The sequence below is a fragment of the Homo sapiens genome, chromosome 1 (genome assembly GCF_000001405.40).
Source record: "Homo sapiens chromosome 1, GRCh38.p14 Primary Assembly".
NCBI lineage: Eukaryota > Metazoa > Chordata > Mammalia > Primates > Hominidae > Homo > Homo sapiens.
Window position 1 is genome coordinate 65,057,414 of NC_000001.11, and position 21,062 is coordinate 65,078,475.

The 21,062-nt window shown below is 42.9% G+C and overlaps 1 protein-coding gene, 2 non-coding genes and 1 pseudogene across 6 annotated transcripts in view, besides 3 other annotated features; all 4 read right to left on the reverse strand.

Moving 5' to 3' along the window:
* Positions 1 to 10,333, reverse strand: part of JAK1 (Janus kinase 1) — a 234,518-nt gene extending 224,185 nt beyond the window's left edge. For 2 of the 4 annotated variants that reach the window (NM_001321854.2, NM_001321853.2), the window contains exons 1-2: positions 10,191 to 10,333; positions 9,215 to 9,389 (exon numbers count right to left, since the gene is read on the reverse strand). The gene's annotated coding sequence lies outside the window, so the exon portion shown is untranslated. The remainder of the gene's footprint in view (positions 1 to 9,214; positions 9,390 to 10,190) is intronic. The other 2 variants (XM_047419676.1, NM_001321852.2) reach the window with 1 other exon arrangement.
* MIR3671 (microRNA 3671) lies at positions 342 to 429 on the reverse strand. The gene has a single exon (NR_037443.1). It is a non-coding gene; the product is annotated as a microRNA 3671 (primary transcript).
* MIR101-1 (microRNA 101-1) lies at positions 1,021 to 1,095 on the reverse strand. The gene has a single exon (NR_029516.1). It is a non-coding gene; the product is annotated as a microRNA 101-1 (primary transcript).
* Positions 9,462 to 10,061: a silencer, noted in NCBI's record as "silent region_961". NCBI's record gives its function as "represses an Ori minimal core promoter by ATAC-STARR-seq in GM12878 lymphoblastoid cells {active_cell/tissue: GM12878}" and the evidence as "EXISTENCE:reporter gene assay evidence [ECO:0000049][PMID:35858748]".
* Positions 18,113 to 18,162: a silencer, noted in NCBI's record as "silent region_962". NCBI's record gives its function as "represses an Ori minimal core promoter by ATAC-STARR-seq in GM12878 lymphoblastoid cells {active_cell/tissue: GM12878}" and the evidence as "EXISTENCE:reporter gene assay evidence [ECO:0000049][PMID:35858748]".
* Positions 18,183 to 18,232: a silencer, noted in NCBI's record as "silent region_963". NCBI's record gives its function as "represses an Ori minimal core promoter by ATAC-STARR-seq in GM12878 lymphoblastoid cells {active_cell/tissue: GM12878}" and the evidence as "EXISTENCE:reporter gene assay evidence [ECO:0000049][PMID:35858748]".
* On the reverse strand, positions 19,999 to 20,209 carry LOC100129205 (ribosomal protein S24 pseudogene; annotated as a pseudogene).

A 21,062-nucleotide genomic window follows, 5' to 3' on the forward strand; every position in this document is an offset into this window, starting at 1 on the left:
ATCCTGGCTGGGTATAGTGGCTCATGCCTGTAATCCCAGCACTTTGGGAGGCTGAGGTGGGAGAATCAATTAAGCTCAGGAGGTCAAGACCAGCCTTGGCAACATAGTGAACTCCTGTCTCTACTAAAAATTTGCAGGTGGGTGGCCTGAGCCTGTAGTCTCAGACTCGGGAGGTTGAGGTGGGAGGATTGCTTGAGCCTGGGAGATCAAGGTTGAAGTAAGCTATGATCATGCCACTGCACTCCCGTGTGGGCAACAAAAAAAAAATTTCCTAGTCTTTCATGCACGTGATGCTGGCTTGGTGTTTACAGCTTCGTATTCCTGAAATCGATATGTGCCAGATATCACTGCAGACTAGTCCTTATTTGATAGAAATAAAATAATTTACATTTTATTTTCATGTAAATGTGACAGCAGCAGCAATAACATAGGCATTCAGTAAATATTCTTTTGAATTAGGCCAGATCCTAAATATCCTGAAAGAAACATGACATGTCACTATCTACTCCTTCAAGACAAAGATATACTTTTTTTCTTTCTTCACTTCAGTAAGCTGGTCTACAATGATGGACTTTTATTTATGCAACAATTTCAATACTGTTCAACATATTGGGCTTTTTTTTTCTCCCTGTAAGTAGAATCTGATTTTGAAATCTAGTAGTGTACTGACAAGTGCCAAGCTGTTCTAATTAGGTTACCTTTCACATTTATAAAAATGGTACGAAGTTCTCTGAATACCATTCCAGAAATACTAATTCATACTTACCTATTTTCAGTCTCCTAAAGGTTCCAAAGATCTTAATATATGTTCACTCAGCACAACATGGCTGCACCAACAACTACCCCATGTTACAAAACAAGGCAAAGAGAAGCAGAATAACTCTCCCTATGCCCCGGGAGAAGTATGACAGAGGTGCAGGGTAAGAGGGTTTCTGGGTCCCAGCCACCTGTTTCACATTCCTCTTTCACCTTCTTTCTTCCTGGGTACGGTGAGGCTCCTCTGATGGAAGGTAAGATGGCTGCCATCCTTCAGTTATCACAGTACTGTACCTTTAGAATAGACAGCATCAGCACTGTGATAACTGAGCCAGGGCAGCCTGTCAGTCACTGTGTCGGTCAACGGCATCCTTTCTGGTGGCTGCATTACTCTCTCTGAAGGCTCCCCATGAAGTGAAGGACTAAAAGATCACCTTCTGGTTGGAGACGTGAGGAGGCAGAAGAAAAAGAAGGATCAGAGCCCAGCAAGTGGTGAGGCTGAAATATTAAAAGGCCCAGTTGAATTAAATTAGAATGAAAGATGAACACATGACTTATCCATATTAATGAGGATGAACAACTGCATGATTAGGTTTTCACTCTAATACATCAAATATGCAGTAAGCTTCCAGCATATTTCACAGCTTATCTCTTCCATGCATGGATTCACTGACTGTGCCTCCCTGACCTCAATCATTGATTTTTCATATATATACCGAGGAACTACTACGTTCTAAAGCCCTCTTCTAGATGTTCAGGAAATAAAGATAACTAAGACATGATTCCTGTCTTCAAAGTGCTCATAACCAAACATGACAATAATACTTCATATCTGCCAAACATTCAAAACTGCTCTATATGTTTTCTCATTTGGTTTTCACAAGACGCTATGGGGCTGGCAATGAATTATTCATTAATTCATCAAAAAAGGATTCTGGAAATAGATTAGATATTATTACCCCATTTTATAGGCAGAAAAAAAAAAAAAAAACTTAGGTGATTTGCCAGAGATCATATATTGCTAAGTTATGGCGAACCCATGTCCAGAACCATGTCAAATGAGTGAACACAGTGCTTTGTTTTCTCTACCCTACCCTAGCTGTCCAACTCCATCAACTGGATATTCAGTTTACACAAACAAAAGGATTTCTAAAAACATTTACTTTTTGTTTTAGTTTTCTCAGTAACTGAGATCATGAAGCAGAAGCTAGTGGGGCTTTATAATTAAGAAGAAAAATGCACATTAGCAAAAATGACTTTCATTCCTCTTGCTCTGAGTGCTAAGAATGTACTCAAATTAGTAACATTGATATTTTTCACTATAGTTTATGTCAATTCTATACCTATGGTGATACTGACAACCTTCAGAATACCTTTTTAAAAAGTAATAATAACATATACACATCACTTGCTTTTAAATTATCTGTACCTTTGAGACGTACTCTGAAGTCATTTTAGGGATGATTCTTCCTTTTAATAAAAAGTACAAAAGATTCTGAAATTGGAATTCAGGCATCAGAATATCAACTTATTAAAACCATGATTCACTTGGGTTTTTTCCATGTCATAAGGTTTCAAGTTATTTCAATATGAGTGGAACTTGACAGATATTTGAAAAATAATTATGTTTTCATTAGGCATTTGCTCAATTTCAAAGACTCATTATATGCATATTAGATATTAGCACTGTACTTCAAATAAGTCAGGTAGATGAATCAATTCTTTAGATCAGCAGAAGTCAGAAAATAAAAGTACAGTGAATCTAACTCAACTATTAACTTTACGTACTATGAAAATGACCTTATCTTCAGAAAAGCAACATCCAATGAAACAATCCACCTACACACAAATTAAAAACAACATTGCCTAAAATGCAAAAATATCTAAAAATTAAGGAGGTCATCATCTAGGTCTTAGCCAACTGTAATACAGAGTTGAAACACGAGAGGGCAACGAAGATTAAAGAAAAAAAAAAAATCACAGTTGGATCCCATAACCTAAGGTTCTTGGAAATAGTTGCACATTTTTACCCGAATTATAAACATCTGCTACGTGAACAAAGATACTGTGATTATTTTAGAGTAAAATTTTAGATAGCTGTTCCACGAAAAAGGATAAGATTATCAACTAATATTTCTTGACCACAATTCTGTCAGCTTTGGAAAACTGAATACTTACCCTGAAACACTGAAGGTTGGGTAAGTATGGAGACAAATAAATAATCCTGACATATTTGTAGTTATTAGACTGTTCTTCACCAAAATATTAGTGTGATTCAATGTCTAAATATGAAGTATAAAGACGAAGGAAGTGTACTGCAAAGTTGAAATTCACTCTACTAGCCATCACCAAAACCCATGCAACAACTAAACATTTTTGGTAAAGTAAAAGATACTTCCTTTTTCTCCTTATTTTTCTCTCATTTCATTTTTTTACCTAAATTAGAAAAAAAAAGAAGCCAAGCATCCCTAATAACAAGCAGCAAATTGTCATTATTCTGTGAATGGTTACTTAAATTAATATTCTCTCAGATTCTAAAGCAGTTTCAAGGAAGAAAAATATGGGTTTTCAAAATGGTATTTTTAAAATAAATGTTTCAAAAATGTGTCTTGCTTTTTCTTGAAAATGTTTATAAACGTGCATTTTTGAAAATTTAAATCCATCAGAAATATTTCTTCTTCAACATGTTTCGTCTAAGAACTGAACTGTCTAAATTTATAAACAAGTGACTACAGGTACTCATGCTACAGTAAGAAAAAATAACTGCATACTAAGGAAGAGAGAAAACAGTGATGTAAAATGCTTTCTTCCAGGACCCAAACTGATTTTAAACTACTTCTTCTATGTTAAAAATGATACAACTAGGAACAATTTCTTCATAACGCATATACCAAATATTATCTACAAAACCAGGCACTTATAGAAAACTGGCACACCAAAGAACTTTTAAAATAACGTGGAGTACAAGGCCAGGCATGGTGGCTCACACCTGTAATCTCAGCGCCTTAGGAGGCTGAGGCAGGAGGATTGCTGGAATCCAGGAGTTCAAGACCAGCCTGGGCAACATAGTGGAAGCCTGTCTCTACAAAAAATAGTATGAGCAGGGCCAGTAGTCCCAGCTACTTTGGAGGCTGAGGTGGGAGGATTGCTTGAACATGAAAGGCTGAGGCTGCCATGACTGCACCACTACACTCCAGCCTGGGTGACAAAGACCTTTTCTCAAGCGATCAATCAATGTGGAGTACAAATAAAAGCACAAAAAACATGCTACATCCCTCATATTTATAAACTAAGATGAAAATATTGTTTTAAACCTTTGAATATCTGATTATATATTAAATAACTGAAGGCACCGTAAGTTGTTGGCCAAGCAGAATATTTGAAAATACTTTTAAACTATAGTTTAGTGTATTTAAATCCACTGGTCTTTTAACTAGTGTGATTTGTTTTCCAATTTGAAAATTATCATCTAATTCAGTGATACTATATAAAATGGCCAAATTTGACCACACTGAGATGTTATAAACTGTCAGCAAAAGTTGCTCAAATGTCCAATACTGCTTTGTCACAAGTACACAGAATGTATACTTGCATTTTATTGCAAAACTTTGCTATACTGAGTTTTTAAAAACTAATTTGTGCCAAAGATTGATGAGGTGGCAGGTTACAGAATTTTTTTCTCTTTTATGGAAAAAGAAATAGGCAGAAAGGCAAGAAAATGTCAAGGACCACCGCCCTATACAAAGTTAGCCCCAATTCTCAAAGAGAAGCATTAACTGAGAGTGATTAGAGAAGAGGTGTCATCATTTTACTGACTTTGAGCACTGGCCCTAATTAATCTCATGCTATGTAACTTTATAAGGTCCATGTGGACGAAAAAAAAACCCTATGGACACGGTAACAAAGAGAAGACTGAGCTTTCTTCCTCATGTTGACCAAGAGTTTAGTCCAAAAAGGCTCCAGGAGACTAAAAATTTATAAATACATGACTGGCCCATATATTACATTATATGGGCCTCTCCCCTTCAAACATGTACTCAGCACAAATATTTTTAGTCCAACTGTATACTCCACAGTTAATTTACTTTCTGATTTTGCTCTACATCACATTTCACCACTCTCACCCCCCGGATTTTAGATTTTATGGTTTGCTCACAAGTCAGTTTTATATGCCAGCTAACTTCGGAATGATCCACCCCTGGCTAAACATCTCTAAAAACCCTGATGGTCTCCAATTAATCTATGATTGCCTTATTACTACAGCACTGCCATTTGAAAATGCTGGGTCTCAGATTTTCAAATTCCCTTAATGGACAGCTAAAGGAGCCAATACCAAAGACTTGCAATGACCTCCAATTCTACAGCCTTGGGCTGTTCCAGGAACACAATTACACTCCACTTCCCTGCAGGTTCCACCCTTCTCGAAGCTTCTATTCCTACATCTGTAAAATGAACACATTTCTACTAACTAGTAACACATGCCACAGTGGCACTGCACTCATTAAGTGCTGTGTTGTATACTGCAATTTAATTTGGTGCTGTTTATATCTTATTTCCTCAAGTCAACAGGACTCTTTCTAAAAAAGTCAGAAACTGTTTTACTCATGTCCCTTCACAACACTTAGTGGTCATTTCCACAAAATGCTAGCTCAACAGATACTTGATTGATTGATTAATTGATGAACCTCTCCATTTCTCAGGGAGCCTCTAAACAGTTATCAACAAGAGTATGTTTAATTCCAGTCTCTGTCTATATGGTCTTAGGTGAGGTGTTTGGCAGTTTGTCATCTATAAAATAAAGGGATAGCACCGAATAGCTCCTAAGTTCCTTCCAGTGCAATTTCTGAATCTCATTAGACAAAACAAAACCCAAAGACAGCACTACCTCTATTCACGTTAGCATTGTACTTTTTTTGGAGGAAAGGAGTCAGCAGCCTTGTGGGCCCAAATGCCACGAGTGGAGCCGTGATTTGGTGGGGAGGGGGACAGAAAGTAGATGAAGCAAAGAAAAAATAAATGGAAGTGAGTGACAGATGAGTAGAATCACTAAAATGCCACCAGGTGTCACAATTGTTACTTTGCCACACATTGTTTTCCGGTACCTTTTGCTATGTTCAGGATCCTTTTACAAAAGCAGCAATAGCCGGGTATGTGGGTATCCCAATTTTCCCATGACACCCCTGCTAGCCGTTCTAGAACCCTGGACTTTTACACTAATCTCCCTAATATAACAGTAATAATGTAATACTTGGGGTCCCCAATCATCACATGGAACACAGCAGTGGAAAATAGAAACACAAACATGAAATAACAATATTTCATACAGTCACCACTTTTGAAATTAATCCATGGGGCTAGGCACAGTGGCTCATGCCTGTAATCCCAGCAGTTTGGGAGGCCAAGGCGGATGGATCACCCGAGCTTAGGAGTTCAAGACCAGCCTGGCCAACGTGGGGAAACCCCATCTCTACTAAAAATACAAAAAATCTGCCGGGCGTGGTGGCACACACCTGTAGTCCCAGCTACTCTGGAGGCTGAGACAAGAGGATCGCTTGAACCTGGGAGGTGGAGGTTGCAGTGAGCCAAGATCGCGTCACTGCACTCCAGCCTGGAAGACAGAGAGAGACTCTATCTCAAAAAAAAAAAAAAAAAAAGAAAGAAAAAAAGAAAAGAAATTAATTCATAGATGAAAAGGAGTAATGCAGGCCTGAGCTGTCCAATGAAGTATATAATGCAAGCTACACATGTAATTTTTAATTCTCTAGTAGCCACACTAATAAACAGGTGGAATTAATAGCATATTCATTTAACCCAATATATCTAAAATATTATCATCTGAACATGGAATCAACATAAAATTAATGGGCTATTCTACTTTTTTTGCATTCTTTGAAATCTGAAGATTACTTTGCACTTACATATCCCAATTCTAAATTTTCATCAAAATACTTAATTTGCGTTTGGATTTCAAAACACTTAGTTTCAAAAGTAGATGCGTAAGCTCAAGTATGTTTCCAAATATAAATAAGCTTTCCAATAACTAAATCAAGTTATCAAAGTCTAAAATTAAATAAAATTTAAAATTGAGCTCTTCCTCACCCTAGCCATATTTCAGGTGGTTAATAGCCACGTGGCTAGTGGCTACCATATTAGGGCAGGTATCCTGTCTCTGTCACCTGGATTCTTTTAAACCCGAACCAGAGTAAAAGATGTTACCCCATCAACCAGAAAGTCATCTTACAGCACCCACCAAGTGCTCAAATTATACCAAGTATTTTCTGCTCCACTTCCAATCTTTAAGTTGTCAACACTTCAGTGATTATCGTTTATTAGGTAGCCCTTCCAAAAGACTGAGTATTTTAGCTCAGAGAGGAAAGCATATCTCAATTCAGGGACTGAATGGAGACACTGAGTGAGATTCAAAGACAAGAAGTTAATTTCCAAGGTAGAGGTGGAAAATCCTGACATCCTTACTTCTTTGTCCAGGGTATCAGTCACCTACAAAAGTTACAATTATTGTTTATCACAATTATTGTTTATGAGCCTCTCAACTTACATACTCACAGCAGCTGTCACTGCATCCTCAGGTTCTCTGTCTTCAAGTGCCCTCCTAGCTTCCTGAAACAACCTTCTCTATCTAGAGCAGATTCTGCAGAGAGGCCCCTCTTTAATTCATATTCTGAAACGTGCTTGTTATTGTTGACGTACAAAAACTTATGAATAATTCAATAAATGAATCTTGAACCATCCTATTTATCATTCAGTGGTCTAGGTACCCAACTCTAGAGGAAAGCTTTTCTGAAATACACGGTAAGTATCCCCCAACCCTCCCTCAAAGGAACCAATTATGAACACTATACAGTCTTCTCTCCCTTCTCACTCCCCATGTCAAAGTTCATTGTGTTCCTCCTGCAGCTGATTTAAAAGTTGATCTTTTCAAGGAGCTGGATTCCTAAGGTAGTTCTATTTTGAGCCTTCTTCCTGTTCTGAAGCTAAAGTTGGAAGGGCTTAGGTGGTGATGTCATGGAAGGGAGACTGTTGGTTTTTATAGGAGGGTCTTCTCTGGCAACTCTGGGGATGCTCAAATGGGGAAAACTCAGAGTGTTACTTTTGATCTTTTCCCCCCTCCTTCCCTTTATAGAATATCAGCTATTCCTTAGCCAGCAAGAAAACAAGTTCAAATAAGCCTGCAAACAGATTTACATATTTTACATGCTAAACATCTAATAAATGAAAAGACTGAGAAAAAGAAAAATGCCTCACTGTAAGGAACAGAGGGTGACAACCTCTTTCTCCACCCCTCTCCCCAAATATCTATCACAGAACAAGGGGCAAAGAGGAGGGGAGGGTCGACTGGTAAGCAGAATAAAGGGATTATAAAGCTAGGAGGCTTTTAGAGGGAAACGCTGTTGGAATATTCAGGACAGGAGACCCTTGGGTCCCTGCTCTTCCTCTGTGTTTTCCTCCCTTTTGGAATGGTTAGACTTGGGCTGGGTGTGTCTTCTGCTTGGGAGGCGTTTTTTTTGGCGCTGGAAAAGCAAAAGGGGCCAGGGTGGGGCCTGGGGAAAGAAAGCCAGAGACAGGCTGCTTAGGCCTGGCTCTGGGTTAAGCTTAAGGGGAAAATAAAGGGGGCTACGGAGGGACAGCAGATTCCATTAGAAGACCCAGAGGGGAATAAAAAACAGCGCACTGGCCAAAGGGGGTCACTTCTCTCTCTCCCTCAACCTAGGCCCAGGAGCTATTTGCTGGTTGGTGGGGGACAGGTCCAGAGGGAAGAGAAAATCCCAAAACATCTGCAGATCACAACTTGCCGGGGGAAAGGGGGGCTGGGGACAGACATGCCAAATTAAATCAGCAGGTGAAAGCAGCAATTTTTGGCCAATGCTGGGATTGCGGAGAGGACTAACTAAGAACCCTGGAGAGCAGGGGATTCCCTGGTTTCTCAGCTCACCTCTCCTTCAAAGCAGGGATAAGCACAGGTGTGGTCTTTCTCCAGGAAGGTGGCAGCTGGCGTGCGGGTAGCAGAGTGAGGGAAAGAATTCCTCGCACAGGAAGGCAGGGAGAAGCCCTGGGGTCAGCTGCGGCCAGGAGCCGGCGTCTCCGCCAAGTCCCCTCCCCCTTCCTGAAAACCGACCTGGACCAGCACAAATTACAGCAAAGCACCCCTCTCCCCAATAATGTTTCTAATAAAAGAAACAGACTCTCATGCCTATATTAAAAAACCACGAGCTCTAGCTGATGGAAATAAACAGGTGAGCCCGGGGAGAAGCGGGAAAACACTGGGAATGGGAGAATGAAGGGGGAGAAGGCGTTCCCGAACGTGCAGAGAAACCGAGGCTTCCCCGCCCTCCCTCCACCCTCCTCCCCTCCGGCCGGGGAGAATCTGCGTGGCAGGGTGCAAGCTAAAAATGCCACTGACGGACCCCTCTTCCCGCCCCGTGCCCGTTCTCCCTCCTACCCCAGACTCCAGCGTCCCGGCCTCGTGGTAGCGCCCGGTCCCCGGCGCCGCGCGGGGCTCGCCCTCTCTCCGGACCGCCGCCGCCGCGGGGACTCCGGTCTTCCTCTCTTCTCCCTCCCTCCTCCTCCTCCTCCGGCACCGCCGCCTCCTCCTCTTAGACTCCTCCCGCCGGATCCTTCATGTAAACAACATCCAGGCTCTATTTACAGTCGCCGCCGGACGGCAAGGGACCCACGCCAGCACCCTGGACGCGGGCGGGGGCGGGGGAAAAGCGAGTGCGCAACATTTACACACACACCCCGCCCCTCCGCGCCGCTCCCCTCCGGGGGCCGAGCCAGGCGCCCGGGGCTCCCCGCGTTGCCACTGACACCCCAGCGAGGGCCGCGCAAAACCGCGGAAATGCCCATGGGCGAGGTCGCCCCGCTACCCCTCGGGAAAAACACACGCACGCGCTAACAACAACAAACCCAGTCCGGCAACACCCTCGCAGTCGGTCCCGGAGTGCGGAGGCCCGGCCCGGCCCGCCCCGCGCCGCCGCCCCCGCGCTCCGCCGCCTACCCCGAGGTGGCGAACTGCGTGCGGTCCCCGGAGGAGGCTGAAGGCAGGCGCTAGGCGCTGGGCAGTGGCGCGCCCTCGGCCCCCGGCGCCGCCTGGCCCGCCCCCAGACCCCAGTGCGGATGCCTAGCGGGCCGAGCCCCACGGCTGCGTGTGCGTGTGCGCCGCGGCCAGCCTCGCCGGAGCCGCTCTGTGCGCCCCACGGCTTCCCGCGTCCCCAGGCCGGCTCCGACGCGCCGCGAGACGGGGCCGGGAGCGCAGCAGCCAGCGCTCCACGGCGGCGCACGGGCGCGCACTCGGACGTCCACACTCTGCGCCCCGAGCCTCGCGCGGCCGCACGCCCCACGCAGCCCGCCTCCCGCGGGCGCTCGGCCCCGCGCGCCCCGCCGCCCCCGCGCCCGGCCGCCGCCCCCACACCCACCTGCGCCCCCGGGGGTCCCGGGCTCCCCTTCCTTTGTTCTTCCCGCTATTTGCATGAGGATTATCTAATGACGCAGCAAGGCTCGCCACAACGTGACCGTCGCCATTTTTCTGTTTTTATTCTATCTCTGCCATGTGATAGATGGCGGGGGGGTTGGAAAAGGGAGAGAGACGGGATTAAAAAAAAAAAAAAAAAAAACTTCCGGGTCTCATGACCGGGAAGGGAGAAAAACAAAAGGGAGACGAGACACAACTCTAAGGGAAGGATGTGTGTGCGTGCGTGTGTGTATGAGAGTGTGTGTACGTGCGCGCGCTCTCCCTCCTCTGCTGGGAGAAAGGAGGCTCCGGCAGCGGACAGGCAGCAGCCATCCTCCCACCCTGGAGACCAGTGGCCCCGGTGGGTCCAGCTCGCACCCTCTGATTGTGGCGGTCGCCCGTCCTGGTCCCCCACGCGCCGCGGAAGCTGGGGGAGCTGTCAGCCTGCTCCCCTCCTCTGGCTGCCTTCACTCGCCTGTCCGCCCCAGAGCTCGCTTTCCCTCCCGGGCGGCTGTACCGTTGTGGGCTACGTTCAGAGAAGTCCCACTATTGCCATGAGCAGGGACATAATAGAGTTTAAAGGCCGCCGTATTTTCTAAGTTTTAAAACAGTTTGCTTCGACGCCGTTGTTTATGACAACCGCGTGGCAACACCAGGCACAATCTAATGTTGGTTCCAATCCTTCCCCTCTTTCTCTACCCCCGCTTTCCCCCTTTTCCCAAAGTGGGGCACAACTTGGTGTGGTCTTCAATGGGGATTGGTTTTGTGGGGATGGACCATTCACTACGGATTGATTGATTTAAGAACCGCTTATTTAAATAAGTGGTGTTCAGGGTCAGAGGATTGTTTCAGAAGACAGTTGCATAGAGCAAGGTGGATTCGTGTTACACTGATCTTATTCACATTCAAAGGGAGTGATAGACATTTCATTCTTTCCGAAGTTCACAGTTGCTGAAAAAAAAATATTTGGGAACTCTGCCACTGTTTTCCGGTGAGATATAGAATTTTGTACTCTTGTTTACTACTGGGTTCCCTTCAGGCACTTTCACTTTTGTTTTTCGTGAGTTTCCTTTCTGGTTTTTTTTTTTTTCCTCTATTTCTTAATTCAGAGCAGAAATGGACTTCATAGTTGAGCAGGGTTCCTGGCTTTTACAGGGAGAGAAACGGAGACTCTGAGTAGTGCTAGGAGTTGCTCTAGGGCACACATTTAATTAGAGCCCAGCTTGGATTGCGCCCTGCTCACCTGTCGTTTCTCTTAGGGGTTGGCTATAAGAGGATGGGGTGGGGACGGGACTCACGGAACATCGCTATGTGCTTATTGTGAATTATTTTTATTAGACTCACAGAGTTGACCACTCTCCCCTTTGTGCATCCACTGTATGGTTTTTACATTTATTTTCTGGTGCCTTTCACAGATCAGCGTACGGCACAGTTGCTGTATCTCCCACTAGGGTAAGCTTTGAGGCCAGGGCCATGCCATACTCATTTTATATCTCCCATATTTAGCACCATGACTAGCAATGAATGAGCAAATGAAGGCCTGAAGAGGATCTTTTCCATAATTCCATCCTAGGAAATTCCTTGCATGTTTCTGGTGAAGGTAGAACACTGGAGATGCTTTTTGATTCTTACACCTCTGCAGACCATTTTTGGCAGTCTTCTTTAGTTACAAAGCCAGGCAAAACATGTTTTGCTTTTCTCAATTTTTTAAATCAACTGCTTCCCCCCTCGCCCCGCCCCGCCCCTCGTTTTACCATATTTGGTTCCTCTTCTTTAAATTCTTTCTGATTCATATGAATAAATTAGTTATGCCAACCTTTGCACTTTGTGAGTTGCTTTTGCTTTTAGACTCCAAAAGTTTGATAAAGTTTAAGGTGTGATTTAACCTGGTGCAGACTGGAAGCAAATCATCATGGGCAGACAAGACTCTGATTCTTCCTGGGATCACTGAACTGGGAGACTGGCGGTTGAGCAGGCAAAAGAGGACTGTTGAAAAGATGTTAGCATCAGGCAAAAAGTACACGTTTACCAAAAACAACAACGACAACAAAACAAACAAAAAACAGAATAACTGCCGTATACAATTACAGCTCAGAGGAGGATCTGGATTGTCACAGATCAGTTCTTATACATCTGGACTGATAAGGTTCCATTGCATATCTGAACATGATCTACATGTATTCCTCTGGATGGGGTAAATGAAATTGGTATGAATGATTGTAACATCTACAACCCATATGTTTAATCCTTGATAACAACAGTGTGATAGTAATTTAAGTATATCATCAGTTTGCAGTCAAGGTGGAGATGAAGTCTAATTATATATGTAAAGTCATTTGTTCTTTTGAATACAAAACTGAACAGAAAAAAAAAGAACATGGCTCAAAACATATAGTTATAATAAATACCTCCATACCTCTTGTTTTACACACATGTGCACTCACACATTTTTAAAAAATCAAACTTTAGTCTTCTGAGGTACCATGTAGTGGCTGATTAAAGGAAGTTCTTATAAGCACCTCACCAGTCTTCCTCTCTCCAATATGTACTTGAAAATGACAATTCCTGGAGTCATGGTGAGAGCACAGACTTTGGAGTCTGGTACTAATCTCAGCTCTGCCAATTTGTTAACTGTGTCAGTCTGGGCAAGTTATTTATCAGTTGCGATTCTTAGTTTCTTTACCCATAATATGAGCATTATAACAGCTAGCTCAAGAGTTTTTAGAATTGAAGTGTAATCAAAATGTATTAAGACATATGTAAAGCACCTAGCATGATACTCGGAAAATAATCTTCAATAAAGGGTCATTATAATAATTTTTAAACTGCATTTTATTTACCCCATGCACTTCCCAGAATTATTCTTTCCCTTTTGGCTGCCTGACCTTGGAAATTCAATAAACCTACTATTAATGAAAGTTCTGTGACTATGAAGATAAATCAGAATAGTTCCTGGCCTCAAAAAGTTCACACTTCAGCTTTGGAAGAGATACAGATACAAGGAACTAGACTGATACTGGTAACCGAAAGAGAAGACCACTTTGTACCAGTTTATGATGATCTACCTGAGCTGTATTTAATTAAGATTGGGTTTTTTTTAAAGATTTACTAGTATCGACACAATGATAAAGCTTGTGGAAGCAGGAAAATTCAAGAAAAAAAATCTCACATTTTCACATAAATGAGGAATACTATCTTTAAAACTCCATCTAGTCAGTATAATTCCTCAGCTTTAAGAAACAATTTTCTGATCCATTATAAGAGGCAAGCTTCTTTTGCGTTCATGTGAAAAATATGCCAGGTTGTACCTTTGAAGTAATGTTGGAGAAATGTAGTTAATAGGAAGCACTTCTGGTTGTTAATTAATTAAACCACTTTAATCAAGAACTATTTTCTGAGAAACTTATTCCCAGCCCTGGGTGGGGTGCTAAAGAAACAAAGATGATGAAGATAACAGACTTTGCCCTTATGGAACTCATCATCTAAGAATCAAATGTTTATTGATTACCTACAGGGGATGCAATAGTGAAAGAGATACTGAGCTTAGTCTATTGAGAGATTGATATATACACATATCTTTCTAGCTTCCTCAAGAAGTATGTGATTGACACAGGATTTGGGCAAGACACTCAGTATATATATGTGTGTTTATATATATATATATATATTTTTTTTTTTTTTTTTTTTTTTTTTTTGAGATGGAGTCTCGCTCTGTCAGCCAGGCTGGAGTGCAGTGGCGCGATCTTGGCTCACTGCAAGCTCTGCCTCCTGGGTTCACGCCATTCTCCTGCCTCAGCCTCCCGAGTAGCTGGGACTATAGGCGTCCACCACCACACCCAGCTAATTGTTTGTATTTTTAGTAGAGACGGGGTTTCACCGTGTTAGCCAGGATAGTCTTGATCTCCTGACCTCGTGAATCTGCCTGCCTTGGCCTCCCAAAGTGCTGGGATCACAGGCGTGAGCCACCGCACCCGGCCTGACACTATATTATGTATATATAAATATATTCGGCCGGGCGCGGTGGCTCACGCCTGTAATCCCAGCACTTTGGGAGGCCGAGGTGGGCGGATCACGAGGTCAGGAGATCGAGACCATCCTGGCTAACATGGTGAAACCCCGTCTCTACTGAAAATACAAAAAAAAAAATTAGCCGGGCATGGTAGCGGCTGCCTGTAGTCCCAGCTACTCGGGAGGCTGAGGCAGGAGAATGGCGTGAACCCGGGAGGCGGAGCTTGCGGTGAGCCGAGATCGCGCCACTGTACTCCAGCCTGGGCAACAGAGCGAGACTCCGTCTCAAAAATAAATAAATAAATAAATATATTCTACGCTCCACCAGAGCTTTTTTTTGTTCCTTAAAACAAAGAGTAGGCTGGGCGCAGTGGCTCACACCTGTAATCCCAGCATTTTGGGAGGCCGAGGCAGGTGGATCACGAGGTCAAGAGACCATCCTGGCCAACATGGTGAAACCCCGTCTCTACTTAAAAAAAAAAAATTAGCTGGGCGTGGTGGCATGTGCCTGTAGTACCAGCTACTCAGGAGGCTGAGGCAGGAGAATCGCTTGAACCCAGGAGGTGGAGGTTGCAGTGAGCCGAGATCACGCCACTGCAATCCAGCCTGGCGACAGAGCAAGACTCCATCTCAAATAAAACAAAAACAAAGAGTAGCTCTTGAAAGAATAGTTGGTCTCTGTAGCCCAAGTGAACCTGGAAACCTGGGAGCCTTGCTAGCTTTAGGCAGAACTGTGAAGTGGGTTAAGTTATTTTCAATTTCCCTCAAATCTGAACTATTGAAATAGCTTTCTGGTCTCTCAGTTCCTGTCCTTCTGAACTCTGTTTTGTTTTCCACAGGCTACTACAGTGATTCTAAAATGCAAACCCTGTTACACTGTTCCCCTGCTTAAAAAACTTTCCTGGCTCCCCATTATCTGCCAAGCATGACACACAAGACCCTTTGTGATCTTGCTCTGCCAAGCCTTCCAGCCTCATCCTCCATCACACCCACAGGAAGAGTTGCCAGATTTATTAAATAAAAATATGAGACGCATAGTTAAATATAAATTGCAGATAAACAATAACTTTTTGGCATAAACACGTCCCAAATATTGCATGACACATACTTAATACTAAAACATTTCCATTGTTTATCTGAAATCCAAATTTCAGTAGGCATCCTGTGTTTTATCTGGCAACCCTACTCATGCCAGGCTGATTGATTAACTTTCCAATTCCTACAGTCTCTTCTTTCCTTTGCAGGTGCCTGATAACCTCTACACCATGTCCCTTATCCACATGATATTCTTTGCTACTTCTTCAAAGCCAGGCATGGAGTTCTGGAACTCTGTGGGTGTGAGCTTGGAATCCAATGTGCCCGAGGATGGGCCTCGCCACCTGTGTGCTTTGTTTACTATCTGGGCTTCTGCCCCAGTTCCTGTTCACCCTTCCCATTCTCCCTCCTGGAACTGGATTTCTGCCCCGAACCCCAGTTTACTTGGCTGGAGCCCACATATAGTTTTTCACCCTTGCCAGCTCTTTCTCTGGGACTGTGGGTAAGAGCCTTCCTCCCAGCTGCTGGCTGGGCTTGTGATCTAAACTGGATGGATCATTGAAACCTGCCACAGATGCTGCTACCTTTTTGCCTTGCTTGCTACAAAGGATGGACAAGAAACTCAAATGAAATCAAGTTTGTGAAATAGTTTGTAAAGTGTAACATCTCTATTATGGTAGTTTAACTTACAAAGTTCAAGCTCTTACTGGTATTGCACATGAAAGCCCCACTCTAAAGTGCCCCAGATTCCTCTTGTTTCTGCTCATGCCTAGTGATATATGATGCTGAAAATGATGTGGAAAATGTCCAAATGTTCTCGAATTTTGATTAGTACATTCTGCCACACTGGTTATTGCATTATGGATGGAGATGGAGAATTGCTTGAACACGGGAGACAGTGGTTGCAGTGAGCCAAGATCGCACCACTGCACTCCAGTCTGGGCGGCTGAGCGAGACTCTGTCTCAAAAAAAAATAAAAAATAAAAAATAAAAAAATTGTAATCTTATGAACCAGAACATACCTCTTCACAACTGAAACCAAAGTCTCACGAACTATGTCTTATCCTAAGTCTGTGTAATGCACTCTGATATTTTCTATTTTATTTCATTTTTTAAAAAATTGGTCGACCCATCAAATTAATTTTATAACTCATGAATGGATTGTTACTTGCATTTTCCCAGACACTGATATGCACTGTCTAATGAGATTCCCTATATTAACCAACTGATTGGGACAATTGTTAAATGTAATTGTTAAATGTTTACCTCATTTGGTGCTAGATCCATAGGAATCACCCTGCCCACTAAAGGAGTGAGGCCACCTCACTGAGGTAAGTCACAGTTGTTCTCACTGATAAGATCAGAAAGCACAGTACTGCAGCCAGACTTTCAAAGCTACCTGAGGTTAATATACATAATTCCTGGCTGGGCCATTTTTAAAAAGGGATAGCTGCAAAATTACCACAACTACATTTATCTTAGAATAGAGGGATATTGTTTGGGGGCAACTCTTTCTTAGACTGTTTAAATCATTCCTGGTTAGGTTAAAGAGACTTTTAGGTTTCTGAGGTTTCACGTCAATTTCAGAGGTAAGCAAACATAAAATAAAAGCTCTCTCACTGCTATGATTTTGTTTTACTCTCCTTTTCCCTAAATGGTGAGCAGATTAGTCTAATATTCAGATTTCACTCTAATAGCCTGCTTTGACAATCTGGGAAACACTAGATTCCAAAGAAAATAAGGAAATATATATACATATATGTATATATAATTATGGTCCAAACGGAGTGGAAAGAATACAACACATGTAAGGAATTCTTTTGTTACAGGTACTCAGTCTAGTCCTCTTCTGCCCATTTCCTTCCCCTAACACGTCTTCCCTAACTTACAGCTGCCTCATTCTTTTTTTCCTTCTGATAGAGTTTTGCTGGTTTTGTTGATCTTGGAAAGATCAGTTTCAGCTCAGTGGTGCACAAAAGCTGGATTGGAGAGAATTTAAGAGAGAATAATAGGAGAAGAGGAATTAGAGACAGCTAGTATAGACAACTGGCTACAAGGGTTACAGAGAAATAAGAAGGTAACCAATAAGGGAAGTGCTGTCAAGAGGAGATTTTTGTTTTTGAAATGGTTGACACAACAGCATGGTTGTATACTGATAGAAATGATCCAGTAGAGGAAAAATTGATGAAGTAGGGTAGACAGGGAGGATTTGCTGGTCTAGTGTTCTTTATTCTGCGAGAGGGGTGAGATCTAACGCACAAGTGGAGGCTTTTGCATGGCTGCACCAAGAGTGCTTCCTTACTGACAGGGAGAAAGGCAGGGCCTAAAGCCGTACCCCTGCATGGATAAGTGTGCATGGTAAGAGTGAATGGAAGTTCTCTTCTGATTCTTCAGTTTTTTCAGTGAGGAAAGAAGCACAGTCGACAGCTGAGAGTGAGGATGGGGGAGAAGAGAAGAACAGAGATGAAAATGTCCATGAATAGAGTAGGAGAGTGAAAGGACCAGGGAAATACAGGACATTTGCTGGGAAAATAGCAAGGGCCTACTTAAGTTCCTAGTGATACCTTTAAAGTAAGACCAAACAGCTTGGTGTGTGTGTGGGTGGGTGTGTTTGTCTATCTGTCTGTCTGTTTTCCATCTATGACCAGCTCATGGGTACAGAAACAGTATGGGTGGAAAGTTGGATTTAACCGGAGTTGCAGTTTTGCCCACCAGCATGGCAGAATTAAAGTGGTCAGGGAGTTCAGGGAGTGATTATACAGATCGACTCTGAAATTTAAGCTGGTTAAAGATGGAATAGAGGGCTTCAAATGGCTATGGCAGTTAAGACAGAAATGGTGCCTCTGATGTGCCTCCCTTTGGTCTTTGCACGACTGGCTCCCTCTTGTGGTTCAGTCATTCTGTGCTCTCACCCTTTTAACTGCAGAGGACTTAACGTTGTTTTCTTATTACTTTCTTCTATTTATCCACCCAGCTATGTATGCTCTGTGCTCTGCTTTACACTATTAGAATATAAGCTCCATGAGAGCAAGCACCTTGTCAGTAATGTTCATTGTTTTATAGCCACAGCACTTATTTGACTTATTTGGCAGAGTGAAGACAACAAGTATTTGATGGAAGAATGAAGAATGACTAGGACGTGATTATAAGGCCTTCGCCATCCTGTGCATGGTCTTCTACATGTGCTCCTGTTTGTCAGTTTTCTGTTTCTAACCTCCACCAAGAGAAAGAAGATGCTTCCCCAGGGTTAGGGTTACTTGCTAGTCAATCCACTCCAGGTCTCCCTCAAGGCCTTCCAAGGCTCTGGGGAGGAGAACTCAAGGAGAAATTTACCCCAGAGTTACTGAGGCACCAGATGTTTCAGAGGCCAGCCAAAGAGGAAGGAGGTGTCATAAGGGCATAATTGCTTTCCATTTTGTTTTGAATTTTTTTTTTTTTTTTTTTTTGAGACAGGGTCTCGCTTTGTCACCCAGGCTGGAGTGCTGTGGCACAATCATGGCTCAATGCAGCCTCAACCTCCTGGGCACAAGTGATCCTCCCGCCTCATTCCCCCAAGTAGCTGGGACTACAGGCCCATGCCACCCTACTCAGCTAATTTTTGTATTTGTTTGTATTCTTTTGTTCCACCATGTCACCCAGGCTGGTCTTGAATTCCTGGGCTCAAGCAGTCCTCTTGCCTCGGCCTCCCAAAGTGCTGGAATTACAGGCATAAGCAACTATGCGTGGTCTATTTTGCTCATTTCTTACTGGGTTATTTTCTTATTGCCGAATTTTAGAAGTTTTTAATATATTATGGATGCAAGTCCTTCATCAGATGTATGTTTTGCAAATATTGTCATTTCTCAGTGGTGTCTTTTGAAGAGCAGAAGTTTTAATTTTTATAAAGTTTTAACTTGTCAGCTGTGTCTTAGATTGTTCATGCTTTTTCTGTCATGTGCAAGAAATCTGCCTAATCGAAGGCTGCAAAGATTTTGTCCTGTTTTATTCAAGTTGTTGTATATAATGTGAAGTTAAGGTCAAATTTCATCTTTTTGCATGTGGTTATTCAGCTGTTCCAGCACCTTCTGTTGAAAAGACTATTCTTTCCCCACTGAATTATTTGGCACGTTTCTTGAAAATCAATTGAACCAAAGCGTGGGCCGCACAGTGGCTCATGCCTGTAATCCCAGCACTTTGGGAGGACGAGGAGGCCAGATCACCTGAGGTCCAGAGTTCAAGACCAGCATGGCCAACATGGCAAAGCCCGTCTCTACTAAAAAAAAAAATACAAAAATTAGCCAGGTGTGGTGGCACGCATCTGCAATCCCAGCTACTCAGGAGGCTGAGGCAGGAGTATTGCTTGAACCTGGGAGGCAGAGGTTGTAGTGAGCCGAGATTATGCCACGGAACTCCAGCCTAGGTGAGAGTGAGACTCTGTCTCAAAAACAACAACAACAACAACAACAACAAAAGTGTGAAGTCTGCTATTGGACTTTCTAGTCTTCCATTTATCTAAATATCTATTGTTCTGTCTTTATAATGCTTTCTTGATTACTGTGGCATTGTAGTAAGTTTTAGAATCAGGTAAATCCTTCAACTTTTTCTTTATCAAAATTGTTTCACTATTCTGGATTCTTTGCACTTTCATATAAACTTTTTTGCCACATGAAAGTTATTAGCTTATTAATCTTCTTATGAAAAGTCCACACAGTGGCTGCAGATAACGTCATGCAGCATCTTTATTCCTGTGGCTTTTTGCCAGCACCACCATTGGCCTTTGCAGTCCCCCTAACTTTCTTCATTCTGTTCTTGTGTTCTTTTTGAGGTCTTTTCCTTCTCATCCAAGCTATGTCTTGCAAGTCTATGTTTGGCTTCGTTTTTCTTTGCATAATCCAAGGAATCATAAATCACATCAAAGCCGGTTGTCTTGCCACCACCAGAATGAGTTCTGAATCCAAATACATTCCCACCAGCAATATGTGAGTTTCTCCATATGCTGGTCAACACTTGTTCACTTGGTCAATCTTTTTTGTCTTAGCCATTCTAGTAAGTGTATAGTGGTATCTCATTTTGGTTTTAATTTGCATTTTTCTGATGACTTATGATGTTCAGCATCTTTTTAATTTTGAGACAGAGTCTCACTCTGTCGCCCAGGCTGGAGTGCAGTGGTGTGATCTTGGCTCACTGCAACCTCCACCTCCTGGGTTCAAGTGATTCCCATGCCTCAGCCTCCCAAGTAACTGACATCCAGTGTAGCCTTGTACATTTTGGATAGTTTTTCCCAAATTTCTGTGTTGGGTACTGATAACTTTCCAGGGTGAAGGACATCAATGAACATTTGTTCATCTCCCAAATTTGTGTGTTGGGTACTGATAACTTTCCAGGGTGAAGGACATCAATGACGATTTGTTCATCTCAAGGAGTTGGCTGGTCATAAACTTCCTGATTCAAGTAGTTATTGTGTCATTCATGATGGTGATCAATCCTTAGGCAGCCACTTCCATATAAAATTTAGGAATAGCTTGTCAATTTAAAGAAAAAAAGGCTGGACATGGTGGCTCATGCCTGTAATCTCAGCTCTTTGGGAGGCCAAGGCAGGAGGATTGCTTGAGCCCAGTAGTTCAAGACCAGCCTGGGCAATATAGTGAGACCCCTTCTCTAAAAAAAATTTTTTTTTTAATTAGCCAGACATGGTGGTGCACACCTGTAGTCTCAGCTGCTTGGGGGCGCTGAGGTGGGAGGATTGCTTGAGCCTGGTAGTTTGAGACTGGCCTGGGCAATATGGTGAGATCCCTTCTCAAAAAAAAATTTTTTT